We start from the raw sequence: 16,286 nt of genomic DNA on the forward strand, positions 1-16,286 counted from the left end.
CTCATTTCTAGTTGAGGTCATTCTTTTTTTTTTTTTTTTTTTAAACCATAGCATGTGTTCCATTAGTTATGAATGTATTATTTCTTTAGAGTCAAAATTCACAACTCATTTCTTTGAATATTATCTCTGATCCTAGATGGGATCAAAATTGCCCTAGATTTAGGAGTTTTAAAAGTTTACTAGGTTGTGGGGAAGATGGGTTTATTTTTCATAAACTTGAACTAGAATGTTGACGATTATAAGGACTGGGACACTTCCTAAAGGTCAAAATATTTTAAGGCGAAAGTATGTATTCTTTCCTTTTGCCTAATGATTGAAAGAAAAAGTGGTAATATGCGCTTGCTTTCTATTATGAGCTTTAATTTGTAATTTGATGAAGATTTTTGTTAACTTGCTATAGGTAGTCAGGTAAGGAAACAGTGGTGCCAGAATTTGTCCCTGATTCAGTATAGTTCTGTGCAGGTCTTGAGTAGATGAATTTAAATGCTACTTTATTAGTAAGAGTTAGATGGTCAGCCTTGTACTGAGAACCTCCAACCTTCTTCCCAGCTTTATTTTTCTACACGCTTCCCATCATCTGACTTACGTGTTTTACTTGTTTACTAGAATGTAAGCTACATACAAGCAGAGTTTTTAAAATTTTTATTCTGTTCATTGCTTTATTCTGAGTGGCTATTATCGTTTACCTTTTTTCCTTGTTTTCTATGCAAAGTCTCTTATCAGCCACTACTTGCTCATTTCCATACAGGGCTATAGTTCAACCCTTTGCTGATACCATTTTTCTTATAGAAAAAGTTCTTCCAAAACTTATCAATACTGTATTCATCATTAATGCCTCTTTGGAATTCTCTCATTCTCCTGACTATTGCTGAACATAGTCTCTTCTTTTAAATGCTGAGGAAGCACTCATTTGACACTTTGCTGAGATGTTTACCTAAACTACATTTTAAACTTTTTAATTACTACTGTTTTTACTGTGGAAAGGGGTGTGAAAGTGTTACAGCCCTTTACTATTGGGAAATCTAATCAGATAAATTTCGTGAGGCTAGGATGGAAAGGAAAAACTTTACAAGTTAAGCAAAGGGACTGTTAATTAACTGTTTAATAACTCTAACGACAGTTATGACCAGAGCAACATAATAGATAAAAGACAATCTCCACTAAGAGCCTTCATTGGGTAATAGTATGACTTGTAGTTTTTTTAAAAAATGCTAATAATCTCAGGTTGTATTACAGTCTCATGGTTATACAGATGGATGGGAATATCTCTATTTGCCTAGGATCAAGAGGCTAGGTGACCTCTTACTCAATGGGTCGTTCTTTGTTATATGTATTAGTATATAGTAAAAGGAAATACTTCCTTTACCATAAATGTTATTTTATTACGTGGCCATGTAATTATGGTCTCAGCTCCTAGGATCAGAGGATTTAAACTTAGAAGACATTTTTCGGCTGGGCACAGTGACTCAACACCTGCAATCCCAGCACTTTGGGAGGCTGAGGTGGGCGGATCAGGAGGTCAGGAGATCGAGACCATCCTGGCTGACACAGTGAAGCCCCATCTCTACTAAAAATATAAAAAATTAGCTGGCATGGTGGCGGGTGCCTGTAGTCCCAGCTACTCAGGAGGCTGAGGCAAGAGGATTGCTTGAACCTGGGAGGCGGAGGTTGCAGTGAGCCGAGATCGAGCCATTGCACTCCAGCCTGGGCAACAAGAGCGAAACTCCGTCTCAAAAAAAAAAAAAAAAAAAAAAAAATTAAGAAGGCTATCCTCTACCCTAAAAAGGATTGGTAGGCTGCTTGAATGAAATGATAATAAAACACCAGTTGTTTAAATGGGGCTCCTATACACACTTTGTTTTAAAAAGAAATATCGAGTTGTGGAGGGAAGAGGATGAAAAACATTTTGAGTATGTCTTTGTAACTAAAATTTACTTGGATTCACTAATGGCTTTGTTCCTTTATTGTAATGGAGTAATATTTTCTAAAACAAAAAGTTGTAATGGTGTTCTATACCTTAAATGTCAAAAAAGATTAAGTAGTCTCAATGTGTTGTAAATAAAAATGAAAGAAATGGTCAATCTGTGCATTAGATTGTGTTTAATCAAATGGTAGGGTAAAACTACGCATACCAGATGACAGCATAGCTTTAAAAATGTGGCTTGGAATAAAGTCTTTCAAAAATGGTTGTGTATACCCTGTCTACAAAGGAGGTATGATACATTTGTATTTATCTTTATTCTAGATAAAATGATGGTTTACAGGGGGAGAAAATGAAGAAAAAATTGTGAATGTCTTTTTTTTTTTTTTTTGGTAAGACAGTCTTGCTCTGTCACCCAGGCTGCAGTGCAGTGGCGCGATCTCGGCTTACTACAACCTCCGCCTCCCGGGTTCAAGCAATTCTCCTGCCTCAGCCTCCCAAATATCCCAAGTAGCTGGGATTACAGGCACCTGCCACCACGCCCAGCTAATTTTTTGTATTTTTAGTAGAGACCGGGTTTCACCGTGTTGGCCAAGCTGATCTCGAACTCCTGATCTCAGGTGATCCACCCGCCTCGGCCTCCCCAAGTGCTGGGATTACAGGCATGAGCCACCGCGCCCGGCTGTGAATGTCTGCTCTTAATACTTTGACTCATTACTGTCATTGAGTGTATTCATTTGTTTATTTTATTTTATTGTTATTGAAACTAGTTTTTTGTTTTTATATGCCATTTTCTTCAAGATGAAAATTACGGATAACTTACAGGTAGACTTTTTTTTTTTTTTTTTTTTTTTTGAGATGGAGTGTCACTCTGACACCGAGGCTGGAGTGCAGTGGCACCATGTTGGCTCACTGCAACTTCTGTCTCCTGGGTTCAAGCAATTCTCCTGCCTCAGCCTCCCGAGTATCTGGGATTACAGGTGCCCACTGCCACACCCGGCTAGTTTTTATGTTTTTAGTAGAGATGAGGTTTCACCATGTTGACCAGGCTGGTCTTGAACTCCTGACCTCAGGCGATCCACCCGCTTTGGCCTCCTAAAGTGCTGGGATTACAGGCGTGAGCCATCGCGCCGGGCCCAGGTAAACTTTTGTTGTTGTTGTTTGTTACATTTGATGTCTTTCTTATTTTGAGTTTAAAAGACCACAGTTTGCAAAATATAACTCAGTGAATTAATCAGTTATTATTTGATAATTTGATTATTTGATAATAACCAGAGTTATTTGATAATTTTTAAGTTTTCTTATAATTTAGAAATACAGGGTGAATAGGCAAAATGTAAACAAAAATGGTAATTTCATATAAAAAAGTATCTGGTGTTTAAAAAACTTTGTATGCATCTCAAAATCATGATTAAAGTATAGTTTTGGCTTATTAAAGTGTTATATATGTCTTCTGATATTAAAATTTGTTTTAATTATCCAAGTAATCCTGAATCCATTCTCATGGGAAGAAAGATACTTAAGTCAATATTAAAATACTGAAATATGTGAAGAGTTAAAGGTGAAAGTCATTCTGTACAGTTCTACAAAATTCTGTTTCTCTGTTCAGAGCTACTGCTTATAGTTTAGTGTTTAATCTTGCACACCTTTTGCATGCATAAACCTTTACAACAATTTGTTTTACTTTTTTAAAAAAATAAATGGGGCTCTATTTTACAATGTGTCAATATATTAATTTTTTTTCATGGTTACAATTTTGTAATGGTTCTCTTAATGATGGATAATTGTTTTCAGGGGTTTTTTTGCTATGATTTAAAAAATTTTACAGTGAATACTGTTGAGCTACATCTCTGGATATTACTATCGATTATATGGTCAGTGCACTTGTGGCTTTATGAATATTTTAAATAATGTAGTCAAGTCTGTTGATCTTTTTCCTTGTCATCTGTGTTTTGTGGATTTTGGTATTTCCAAACTATATTCATTTCTACAGAGTTATTTTCATTTCCATTTTTTGAACTGTCACTTGTAAAACACTTTCTTTTTATAGAACCTTATGAGTGATAGCAAGATGTATTAGTATGTAATACATTGTGATGGAGTGTAATGATCACAAGGATCAGTGACAGTTTTGATGACCAATTTCAGAGTTATAAAATAAATGAAATATATTCTGGAAAAGTCATGGGCTTTTTGTGTTGTTTGTGGAATCACTAAAGGTAGTCCCTCACTATTAACAAATTTGTTTTGACACATAATATGTGAGGCACTGAATTATAATAGGCACTAGAAACATTGCCTATTTTCCTGAATCCTTTAGACAGGATTGCTTCCCCAGTTACCAGAGATTTCTCTAACCTTGATTTACAGTAGCTACTGCTGGTAGGAATTGCTCTCCACTCCACTTTTGCTGCCATCCAGTGTTACATTACCCTACAAATATACTAAGTGCTTAGCAAAGCAGAGTCCAAATGTAAGATCAATTTTTGTCTTACCCAGAATTTTACAATTAAAATATATAAATAAAAGATTTCTCTGTGTGTGGATGTATGTGTACAGTATAGTGTTGCATGCTATACATGGGGTGAGGTATCAGAATGCTTTTTCAGTGTTTGGCACCTCTAATTTGGCTCTGTGGCCATTTATTCCACCTTTCTACCTTGAAATTCCACAACTTGGGCTCTTGAAATTACCTGGTATGGTGCAATGCACGTGTATTCTCAGCTACTCCAGAGGCTGAGGCGGGAGGATCACTTGAGCCCAGGAGTTTGAGGTTGAGATTGAGATGAACTGTGAGAACATGCTACTGCACTCCAGTCTGGGCAACAGAGCAAGACCTCATCTCTAAAAAATTTTGGGCTTGAAACGGGCTGATTTTGTCCTACCACTAGTAATCACTTTTAGAAGTAGCTTACAATTGCTGTTTCTTCCTTCTTATGGGGGGAAATACCCTTATAGGAGGTATTATGAAGCCAATATCTAATAAACTCTGTCATCATTAGCTCACTTCCACTCTTCTGCCATCTCTCTGTACCTGATTAGTATAGTTTTGAAAAATTATAATTTTGCTACCACTGCACCTCTCCTTGTTAGTAGGGGAGATTTATGTAAGAGAAGAATCTTTTATTTCTAGACAAGGTAATATCCCATTGGGAAGAAACAGCCAAGGGAGAAGAAATGTTTTTTTCTTCTTTGAAGGGACTAGAACTTTTATAGCTCAGCAAATTTGAATAAGTTTGATGGTAATTCAGCTACATTATATTTTAGCTAGATTTCTGAGTTCATTTGGTAACCTAACCACCACATATATACCTATTTATAACTTGAAATTTGCCTTTAAAGTCACGAAAGCACAAAGCACTGTGGTGCTTGTAACACTCTTCCATATTATTATAGGTAACTAAATGACCATGGAATCTGGAGCCGAGAACCAGCAGAGTGGAGATGCAGCTGTAACAGAAGCTGAAAACCAACAAATGACAGTTCAAGCCCAGCCACAGATTGCCACATTAGCCCAGGTATAAAATACATGGAGAGATTCCAGTTTGTGTCTCTTCCTAGAGGAATACGTTTCCAAGAGAATTTAGTTGTTATTACATAGATATACATAGAATGAGCAGAGATACTCTTACAATATCAAAATTCCTATTTACTTAGTATTAGAGTATATTTAGAAATGATAGTATTAATTCAATAACAGTAAAATGTATTATTAAACAATAATACAGTATTTTTAGTGAAATGATCCAGAAATAATTACATTTTAAACTTATGGGTAAATGGTGCTCTCAGATAAGGGAAGAAAACCTTGGCTATGTATGACAACTGCTTTTTTTATTTTTTTAATATGACACAGATTTATTTTTTAACAGTGGGAATGCAGATAATATGAAAGCCTAAGTTTATATAACTAAACTAAAAATTAGGATAAGCAAATAAATTGACATGTAAGGAAATTTTAAGGATGATAGCAGTTTTTGTTTCCTGTATATTTTAAATATAATTTCTGATTCTTTCATTTCATCTTTCTCTTTAACATCCTATCTTTAAGAATATTTTCTCTCATTCTTATGTTTTTGTTTGCATGCATTCTCCTCAACTATTTTATTAACAGCTGTTTACATAGATAGGAATGAGAAAGGTGGTTAACTTAAAAAACAAATAGCAGATACAGACCTGCTAGGTAATAGTGTGATACCGTCTCTTTCAGATGAAGGTTCCCAGGAGAATATAATCCTAGCAGAAGCTCTGATATATGTAGCTTCAGTTTCTCCAAGAGTTTAAAAGTTCCTAGAGAAGTCACCTAGCAAGAATGAATCATGGGAAATAGAGGACTCACCACACTTGGGTGTCTGGCTGAGGTAGTGTGAGCCAGATACTGGATTTCCAGCAAGAATATAGTCAGAAGGAGTGAGCTGTTCTGTGTTTTCTCCTAAGACCACCAGGGTTTACCTCCAGCCTTCAGGAATAAGACAAAGCCAAATACATCTAATGTACTCATACGAGGCAGGCTGCAGGATTGAAGGGGAGAGAGCCAGGACTTCCATCAATATAGGGTCAACAGATAAGAATCTGGGCTCATCTGTATATTTTGCCCTTTAGAAAGAGGAAGACACAATGCTAGGCCGGGCGCTGTGGCTCACGCCTATAATCCAAACACTTTAGGAGGCTGAGGCGAGCGAATCACTTGAGGTCAGGAGTTCAAGACGAGCCTGGCCAACATGGTGAAACCCCATCTCTACTAAAAATACAAAAATTAACCAGGCGTGGTAGCACACACCTGTAAATCCAGCGACCTTAGAAGGCTGAGGGAGGAGAATTGCTTAAGTCCGGGAGGCAGAGGTTGCAGTGAACTGAGATTGCGCCACTGCATTCCAGCCGGGGTGACAGAACAAGATTCCCTCTCAAAAAAAAAAAGAAGATGCAATGCCAGCAGGCTTCTTTATGATGATAGCCCTTAACACATCTTATCTCTGGAGTCACACTATTTTGTCCAGTCTGGTTGTCCCCAGAGTAGGCTGTATTGTGTCATCCTGGGAATTCCTTTCTCCCTACTTCCATTTTCTCACAGTTTGTGTTTTTGATATGGTAAAGCATGTTTTTCAGTGGTTTTATGAGAAAGAAAGGTTGGCTGAGTAAAGATAGCATGTTATAAAAATTGAATGTATGGGCCGGGTGTGATGGCTCACACCTATAATCCCCACACTTTGGGAGGCCGAGGCAGGCGGATCACGAGGTTAGGAGATTGAGACCATCCTGGCTAACACAGTGAAGCCCGTCTCTACTAAAAATACAAAAAAATTAGCTGGGTGTGGTTATGGGCTCCTGTAGTCCCAGCTACTCGGGAGGCTGAGGCAGGAGAATGTCATGAACCCGAGACCGCACCACTGCACTCCAGCCTGGGTGACAGAGCGAGACTCCATCTCAAAAAGTAAATAAATACAAATAAAAATTGAATGTACATGTGCCTTAACATCTAGAAGATGTACAACAAAAATATTAAAAGTGATTAGCTATGGGTGATAGGAATATAAAGGGTTTTTATTTTATTTTTTATATCTGTATTTTATAAATTTATAATGAGAGGAGCCATTATATAAAATTATTAGTGTAGAAAAGGGATTATTCATTGAGTTAGCTAGGTATATTTTCCCTAGAGAAGACTCAGGAAAGAGAACATAGTAATTGCTTCAAATATTACAAGAGCATTTATATGGAATTGAGATGAGATACTCTGAATAAGGTTATGGTTCTCAAACTTCAGTGTACGGGAAAGTATGATTGGGTTCCTGTTAGAGTTGACTTTACAGAGTATCCTGTGTGACTCTAATGAAGCTATTCCATGGACCACATTTTGAGAATCAAATAAAACTAAGCAAGATTTATAGTGGCCAGAGAGAAAGTGATTAATAAGTAAGGACTTTATTACTATCCAGAGATGGAAGCTTCTGGTTTTACCCTATATGCCAAAGACACTGTCTTTATAGGGATCTTCCCCCCAGGCTTCACAGTCACATATTTCGCTGCCTGCTAAAATAAACATCTCTACAAATTCAGATGTCAGAGTAGTTTCATCATCTTCCATTACAACCCCAGTCACCCAAAAGCCTATCCTTACTTCTTGCATTCTCTTTTTCAATTAAGGACAGTCTGCCAATTCTCTTTCAGACATGAAACATTGGGTCATCTGCAGTTCCTCTCTCACCTCTTTTAACTATTCATAAAGCCCTTTCTGGACTGCTTCCAAATTTTCATAAAATCACTTCCCTCGTTCCCATCTCTACTACTACTAACTGCCCTCTTTTTGGCCTTCATCATCTTTCCTTAACTACTTCATGGGCTTTCTTCGTTGGTCTCCCCACCACCAGTTTTCCCCCTGAAATATATATCTTTCACACTGCCACTAAAGTGATTTTTTTTTTTTTTTTTTGAGATGGAGTTTTGTTCTTATTGCCCAGGCTGGAGTGCAATGGCGCGATCTCGGCTCACTGCAACCTCTGCCCCCTGGGTTTAAGCAGTTCTGCTTCAGCCTCCCAAGTAGCTGGGATTACAGGCACCTGCCACCATACCTGGCTAATTTTTTGTATTTTTAGTAGAGATGGGGTTTCACCATGTTGGCCAGGCTGGTCTCGAACTCTAGACCTCAGATGATCCACCCGCCTCGGCCTCCCAAAGTGCTGGGATTACAGGCGTGAGCCACATTGCCCGGCCTAAAGTGATCTATCTAAAAGCAAACATCACCATGGTATTCAGGAGTTCAAAAGCCCTTCAGTGGCTTCTGCAATACCCTCAGGATAAAATGCAGTTTCTCTGAGGTGACATAATACAGGCTTTTTGTGACTAGCACATCTAGCCCCACCTGCCTCTGTTGTTTTCTCTCTCCCTACTTCATACATCATACAGTAACACACTTATGTGCACCATTGGTGCTGAGCTGCTGGTTATCCCACTCTGCCATGTGTGCTGTTTCTCTTTGCTTTTGCCACTACTCCACTCTGTGCTTGAAATTCTGTGACTCTTCCCTGTAAGTAATAATAACAAGTCTAACTTTTTTCTTTTGTTTTAAATTCACATTCTTCCCTGATAGCCTCCCCTTCTCTTAGGTTGGGTAGAGTAATTCTCAGTGTGTCCATTTTTCTTTTAGCAAACCTCATTACTAAACTGAATTGTATTGTGTCTCTTTTCCCCATTCCTTCGCATACATACCCCCAATAATTTATTTGAGGTCAGAGACCCCTATCTTTCTCACTTTTGTAGTTTCAGTTCTAACATTATTCCTGGAACATAGGTCCCCAATAACTGTTTCCTGATTTAGCAAATAAAATTCCTATCCTTGAATGTGTTCAAGCATAGGAGCAATAAATAACATCTGATAGACATGTATGATTTAAGGACCCTTTTAACCTGGGTATTGACTCATTAAAACTGCCTTAGTTCTAGACTTAGTAGGTCAGGTTTGCTTATGCTTGAGAGCAGTTAGATTTTAGAACGTGACTTATTTAACATGATATTCTTTAGAATTTTATGTTTCTTCAAGGATAGTATATCTGTTGACCTTGGGTGAACACTTAATCTCATTGAGCAGTTATTTGTGTTTTTAAAAATGGAGATCCTTATCACCCAGTCTTCAGTTTCTTCAAATAGCAAAATCAGAAATTGGAAATGAAAGCAGGTGGGAAAATGTAAAGTGCCATACAAATAAAGTGATATCTCATGTTCAGAGAGTCTGTATTACATATTTGGTATAACATGGGAATAGTTTTTAATTTTTTGTCACTTGGGAAGAGCTGAAAAGGATAGGGGTATAGTTTTTGGTGTTTTTTATAGTGTTTTTTCTTAAAGAATATTAAATTTAGTCATTACTTTCATATCAGTGAAATACATATCTAGCAAAAAGGTCACGTTTTTGCTTCTAAAAAGTTATTTCATATTGAACATGAGTACTGCCAAAGAGTGTCTGGGATGATAATTCTTTTCTGTGTTCAACACCATAGGTATCTATGCCAGCAGCTCATGCAACATCATCTGCTCCCACCGTAACTCTAGTACAGCTGCCCAATGGGCAGACAGTTCAAGTCCATGGAGTCATTCAGGCGGCCCAGCCATCAGTTATTCAGTCTCCACAAGTCCAAACAGTTCAGGTATGTGTATAAAAAGTTCTGCATCTATTTTAATAACTTTTGTTTATAGCCATATCTCTCTCCTTTCACTAGTTATGAAAATAAGGACACATCTAGTTCAGTTTATTTTATTCACAGTATAGGAATATGCTGCATCTGTATAGTCACCTTATGTATAGGAACATATATACAGAAGAACAAACATAAAAGAAAATGACTAATTTCTTAAGCTGCAGAGGAAAAAGAATTGATTGGGGAAAATAATGAAGTACATGAGATAAAGTGGAAGTGTTTGGGAGAAACTGTAGGACTGAAGTACCTCAGTCGAGGAAAATTGAGATGCAAAAATAGTAACTAATTTTCTAAATCTGCAATTGGAGAAAAATATACCCTTGATCAAAAATTAATAACCTTACCTAAGATATTATTTGACCTTAGAGATTACATAAAGCATTTGTAAAATCAGCTGTGCTTAGGGTTTTCAGTTACAGTGTGTAACTTTGAAATAATATATTCAGAGGTTACATCTTAAGGGTCAGGAATTATACTATGCATGTTATCTAATTCTTTGGAGAGATCTTTCCTTTGGGTTTGATCCACAGGTAATAAAGGCACTGTAGACCTTTGAAGGTGACTACTCTGTTTAACTGTAGGGAACCGAGAGCAGTATAGATCATTGCAATTGAGCTTATTGAAAAAAAAGACTTGAACGTTCATTCAAGTAGGCCATAACCCCAGCCTCCCATTTCATATTTTTTGCTTCACAGTCTTCCTGTAAGGACTTAAAAAGACTTTTCTCCGGAACACAGGTGAGTCCTAGGTCCTAGATTTGGAGAGAACTATTATTAGAAAGGAAGGTGAGAAATTATTCTTTATGTCTTTGTCCTTTTCCTCTATAAACATGGAATTTCAACACTTGAACAAAAACCTCAGAGATCTTCTGGGTCTAGGCCATACTTGTTACCTCCCCAGCCCTTAGTCTGTTGCTTAATTCTGTTTAACATTTCTCCCCTCTTCCTAATGGTAGTCCAGCATTTACTTGAACACTTTCAGAGAAAGGAAGCTCAATCTCCTGAGGTAACCTGTTTACAATTAGGAGTGATTGCTAAAATATTCTTCTCTGTGATGATCCAAAATATATCTTCCTAAAACTTTTACCTAGTGATCCCGGGTAAACACAGGTTCTATTCTCGGAAACTAGATTAGCAAGTCTAATTCCTGTTCTATTGGACTGCTTCCTCTTCCCCATCCCCCGCACCCTTCCTATTTTTAAGAAAATTTCCAGACTAAACAAACTATTTTTCTTTAGCCATTTATTAGATGGTATAACTCTGTTTCCTCTTCACCATCCTGGTTGTTTTCTTCTGGGTGAGCGCTGTTATGTTTTCTTTACATATAGTAACCAGAACTGATTAATATTTGTAGAGGGGAGAAGTGCTGTCTTTGTCCTGGAAGCATTCTATTAATGTCCTCAGTAGAATTTGTCAGCCATTTTATACTATTGAGTCATCGAACTTCTATTAACCACCTCTACTTCATTCTGTCTTTGTGCTTTTGGTTCACTTTGACACTTAAGTGGGAGCGTGGGGGAGGAGAAGTAATGTTTTTGTGTGAAATCATCAGTTGGATCAATTTCCATAAGACACTGGGAATGGCATTTGTTAACAAGTAAAAGATAGTGTTGTGCATGTAAAGATCTAAGAACTTGATATTTCTATGAAATCACAATGACTGAGCAATAGTCCTTTGCCTTAGTTTTTATTCCATTGAGTGCTACCTTACCATTGTCCATACTGTGCCATTACTAATTCCCTAACCATATGCTCCTCTTAGTAATAGTGAGAAAACTTGATTTGCTAGTGAGGAGACCTAGATTCCAGACCCAGTTTGGACATTAATAAGTCAAATGGCCTTGGGCACATCTACCTTTCTCTTTTTCACTTATAGAAGATCTTTCTATAAAGAACACAAAAATTACTTAAGTTACAGCCACAAAATTTGCTAAGATTACTGTTTTTTATTGTAATATGTGTTATTGTTGATTGTATTCTTGATTTTAATCTTTATTCTGGGGCAACATAATTTGGACATGAAGATTTTATGGCCATTAAGTATAGAAATATTCTCTTTTTTTTATTTGCTTGTATTCATCTTTAAGGAACACATTTGTCCATTAAGGTCCATTAAGGTGAGCTGTACTTCTAATTTAAGAGTGTGTATTTATAAAAGAAAAGTTGGACTTATTGAACCCTGGATTCTACAAATAGAGATACAAATATAATATTTTTTTCTTTAAAAGGCCTAAACTATAGAATATCTATTTTAATAGTTATCTTAGCCAGTTAATGGTGATTAGTGTTAACAACTAGGAAATAGTTTTTATCAAAAGAGATGATCAAACAAGGAGAGGATCTTCTAGATGGGAGACCTCATTAATATTCCAGAATAAAGTTTCCAAAATATACAAGGTACAGTTCTCTTGTTGTGAGAATAGATTATTACTTTAAATTATCATTCATTCCTACAACAAATGTTTATTGGTGACATGCTATGTCACTGTTCTGCTTGCTATAAAAGACAGCAATGAGCAAATAATACTTCTCTGTTCTCAAGAAGATCACATTTTAATGAAAAGAGACAGACTATGAAAAAATAAATTGTGTCAGGTTAGGAGAATTAACGAGAGAGATGAATAAAGCCAGGGGAAAGGGATGGAGAATGATGTGGAGGGAAGGGTGTTCTACTTTATGTAATGTGCTCAGGGAACACAGCACAGACCAGAAGGCAATGAAGGAGGCTAAGGCATGCAGATCGAAAGGTTTGGAAGTGAGGGTATACTTGGGATATCAAGGAATAACAGAAAGGTATGGCTGGAATAGAGTAAGTGAGGAGGGAAGTGATTGGAGATGCAATTTACAACGTAAGTTTGTCTCCTTTAAAATGTCAAATCTACGTATTTTAAAACCCTAGGAATAGAACTTTGTAAATTGTTCAGGAGTCTTCCGGAGTTTCAGCAGGTATTGAACTTATTTCTTAAAAATACAAAATTGTAACCCCTTCCTATTAACATGGAATAAACTGACTTAGAGCCAGGGAGATGAAAATAATAAACTAGATAAATCTCATTGAAAGCTTGCATAATTGGTAGATGCAAATGAAAATGATTATTTAGTAAGCATACCTCAAATGCACCTAGTTTTGTTATCTACATGAAGTTTTCTTTTTCAATGCCAGCAGTTGTTAAATCACATTTCAGAAAACCCAAGCTTAGAATCTGACTTCTAAATGACTGTTATAAAGTGTTAAATGAGGTCAGACTCCGTGGCTCATTCCTGTAATCCCAGCACTTTGGGAGGCTGAGGCGGGCGGATCACTTGAGCTCAGGAGTTCGAGATCAGCCTGGCCAACATGGCAAAACGCCATCTCTACTAAAAATGCAAAAATTAGCCAGGCGTGGTGGTAGGCACCTATAGTCCCAGCTACTCGGGAGGCTAAGGCACGAGAATCACTTGAACCCTGGAGACGGAGGTTGCGGTGAACCAAAATCATGCTGCTGTACTCCAGCCTGAGTGACAGAGTGAGACTCTGTCTCAAAAAATAAAAGTGTTAAATGATTTTTAATGAAGCATATTATGTCATTCTCACTATCCTGAAAAATAATATTATTTATCTTTAAGAAATATATAAATTTTTAATATTTATGCTTATCATATCTCTTTAAGAACTCTTGTTTTATAATACGAATACTTAAAATTTAGAAATAAGAAAAATGTATGCCTGTGTAAAATTTTTCTTATTTATAAGAGATACATGCAGATCAAAAGAGTTGGAAGATCATTGATCTAGACTTTCAGTAAGCTTCTTGATCCAATGAGTAAAACACTGTATCTAAGGCCAGGTGCAGTGGCCTATAATCCCAGCCCAGGCAGGAGGATTGCTTAAAGCCAGGAGTTCAAGACCAGCCTGGGCAACATAGCAAGACCCTGTCTCTACAAAAAAATTAAAAATTAGCTGGGAGTGGTAGTGCATGCCTGCAATCCCAGCTAACTCAGGAGGTTGAGTCTGGAGGATCCCTTGAGCCCATGAGTTTGAGGCTGCAGTGGGCTGTGATCGCACCACTGCACTCCAGCCTCGGTGAGTGAGTGAGATCCTGTCTCTTAAAAAAAAAAAATCTTAAAAAAAAAATATATATCCAAACCATGAGTCTCAACTCTACCGAGGGATAGTACTTAAGTTTCCAAAGGACCATATATAGGTTTAGGAAACATCGAATATTACCATTGTTTTGATTGGTTCTAGTTACTTTATAGTTTATTTTAAAATTTCAAATAATCGAAACGGGGTCCTCCACCTTTCCAATATAAACAGGTAGTATGGGTTTTAAATAAACCAAAGTTGAGAAATACAGACCTAAAACTTTATATCTACAAGTGGTAGTTTAGCTTTTTGAAAATTTCTTGACTTACAAGTGGCCAAAATTAAAGACCTATTTAAGGAATTCAGAAAGAAGTTAATAAGTGATAGGAGATGAGAATAAAAGGAAGGGGTTCCATCATTGGAATGTGATGATGATACGTGATGTTTATAATTGGGATATAATTTTTCATATGATGTTTTTATTCTGTTATTTATAAAAATAGATTTTTGACATGATTTTTATTGATCTCAGTTATGTGGGTCCAGTATGTTTTTTTTTTTTTAACATCAGTTTTAGGTTCACAGCAAAATTGAGAGGAAGCTACAGAGATTACCTGTATACTCCCTCCCCAACTCCATGGATAGCTTCCCCTGTTCTTAACATCCTCCCCCAGAACGGTACATTTATGTTATAATTTGATGACCCTACATTAACACATCATAATTACCCAGAGTCCATAGTTTACATTAAACTTCATTCTTGGCTTGGTATATTCTGTGGCAGTATTTTTATTATTGATTAAGTGATAGATCAGGGACTCCATAGGAATTAGCTTCATGGCTTACTTCTCTTCAGATGGTATTCCCAAAGAGGAAGTGTTGTGTTTATTTCAGTGGTCTGAATTCTCTTTACATTTACAAAGTTGCAAGCACTAAATAGTGATAAGTTAATTCCTTCTGTGTGAATTGACAAAATCTTACAGGTCAGAGAAAGGCAACCTTTTTTTTTTTTTTCATTAAGGGCCATAGATCCAGAGTTAGAAAAAAAAAGGACACAGATTAAAAAACAACATTAATTTGTTTCATTTCAAAACTATCCTGTGGGTAGTTTATATGGCATGTTTTAATGTTGTTGTTTTAGTGAGTTCCAACTTGGAAGGGGGGTGTTCCCTAATCACTATATGTCCTTAAGAGAAGCATGTAAGGATGGGGCATATGAGAGTCAAGCAGTGGACACAGAAAGAGCCACAGAGGAGCTAAGTGAATTCTGAGTGGCGTATTAATGAAGGGAAACAACACTTGTCACAGTACTATCAACTTTGAGTTCAGTCTTGTTATTCCTTGAATTTCTGATCCTTTCCTCAGGCCTTTTCATAGCTCCTGATCTTCTGTATGTGAGAAAGTTTGTGCAGAGACTCTTGTGTGTGGGCTAGTTACAGCAGCTACTGATTAACGTGAAACTTTTCTGTGTGCTTCTTTGGCAGTAATTACAGCATTATTATTCTGCTGAGAATCACAGACTAAATTCAGCATTACTCATCTTTTTATCTGTCATTTGTGAATTCATTATATGTTGCCTATTGATTTTTAGGTCTTTCAGATTGTACTTAGACTTTAAAGTGTTTGGATGGGGCAAATTACTTCATTATAAATATATTTTACTACAAGTTACTAACTTTACCTGGTTTCATTTTAAATGAGCATGCATATCACAAAGCCCTGTAAAATGAATGCCCACTTGGGAGAACTGTTAGGCTCAGACCACACATAGAGTACGCTTGGAATTTCTCAAGTACTTCTGAATATGTTTTCTTACTGCCATTGCCATACGTTTTGACGTGGAGCTGACCTACATAGACCCTTTTGTCTTGGTTAAGTATAATTCTTACTCTGACCGCATAATGTGCCCCTAGTTCAGGAAAGAGCATAACGTTTCTGCTGATTAGAGAAACTTGGGCAGTGTAAATTTGACAATCAAGCATACTTAGGTAAGTGAACTCTTCTAGTCTAGAAAAGGTGTGAAAATGCCACTGGTTGCTGCTTCTGACAAACCTGGTTTGAGACTATAACAGTCTGGTTTGAGACTGGAACCACCAGGATTTTGATGC

General features: G+C 36.9%; 1 protein-coding gene across 23 annotated transcripts in view; it reads left to right on the forward strand.

Annotated features, from left to right (window-relative positions):
• The window catches only part of CREB1 (cAMP responsive element binding protein 1), a 76,027-nt gene that overhangs the window by 20,349 nt on the left and 39,392 nt on the right, over nucleotides 1–16,286 (forward strand). For 10 of the 23 annotated variants that reach the window (NR_163946.1, NR_163947.1, XM_047443437.1 and 7 more), the window contains exons 2-3: nucleotides 5,318–5,439; nucleotides 9,916–10,062. Coding sequence is in view for 19 of the 23 variants with exons in the window: in XM_047443437.1 (XP_047299393.1) it covers nucleotides 5,326–5,439; nucleotides 9,916–10,062 (261 nt within the window). In the remaining 4 variants the exon portion in view is untranslated. Of the gene's footprint in view, nucleotides 1–43; nucleotides 286–5,317; nucleotides 5,440–8,811; nucleotides 8,946–9,915; nucleotides 10,063–10,808; nucleotides 10,851–16,286 lie in introns of those variants that run through there. The other 13 variants (NR_135473.2, XM_011510646.4, NM_134442.5 and 10 more) reach the window with 5 other exon arrangements.

This window comes from Homo sapiens, chromosome 2, assembly GCF_000001405.40.
Source record: "Homo sapiens chromosome 2, GRCh38.p14 Primary Assembly".
In the NCBI taxonomy this organism is placed as follows: Eukaryota; Metazoa; Chordata; class Mammalia; order Primates; family Hominidae; genus Homo; species Homo sapiens.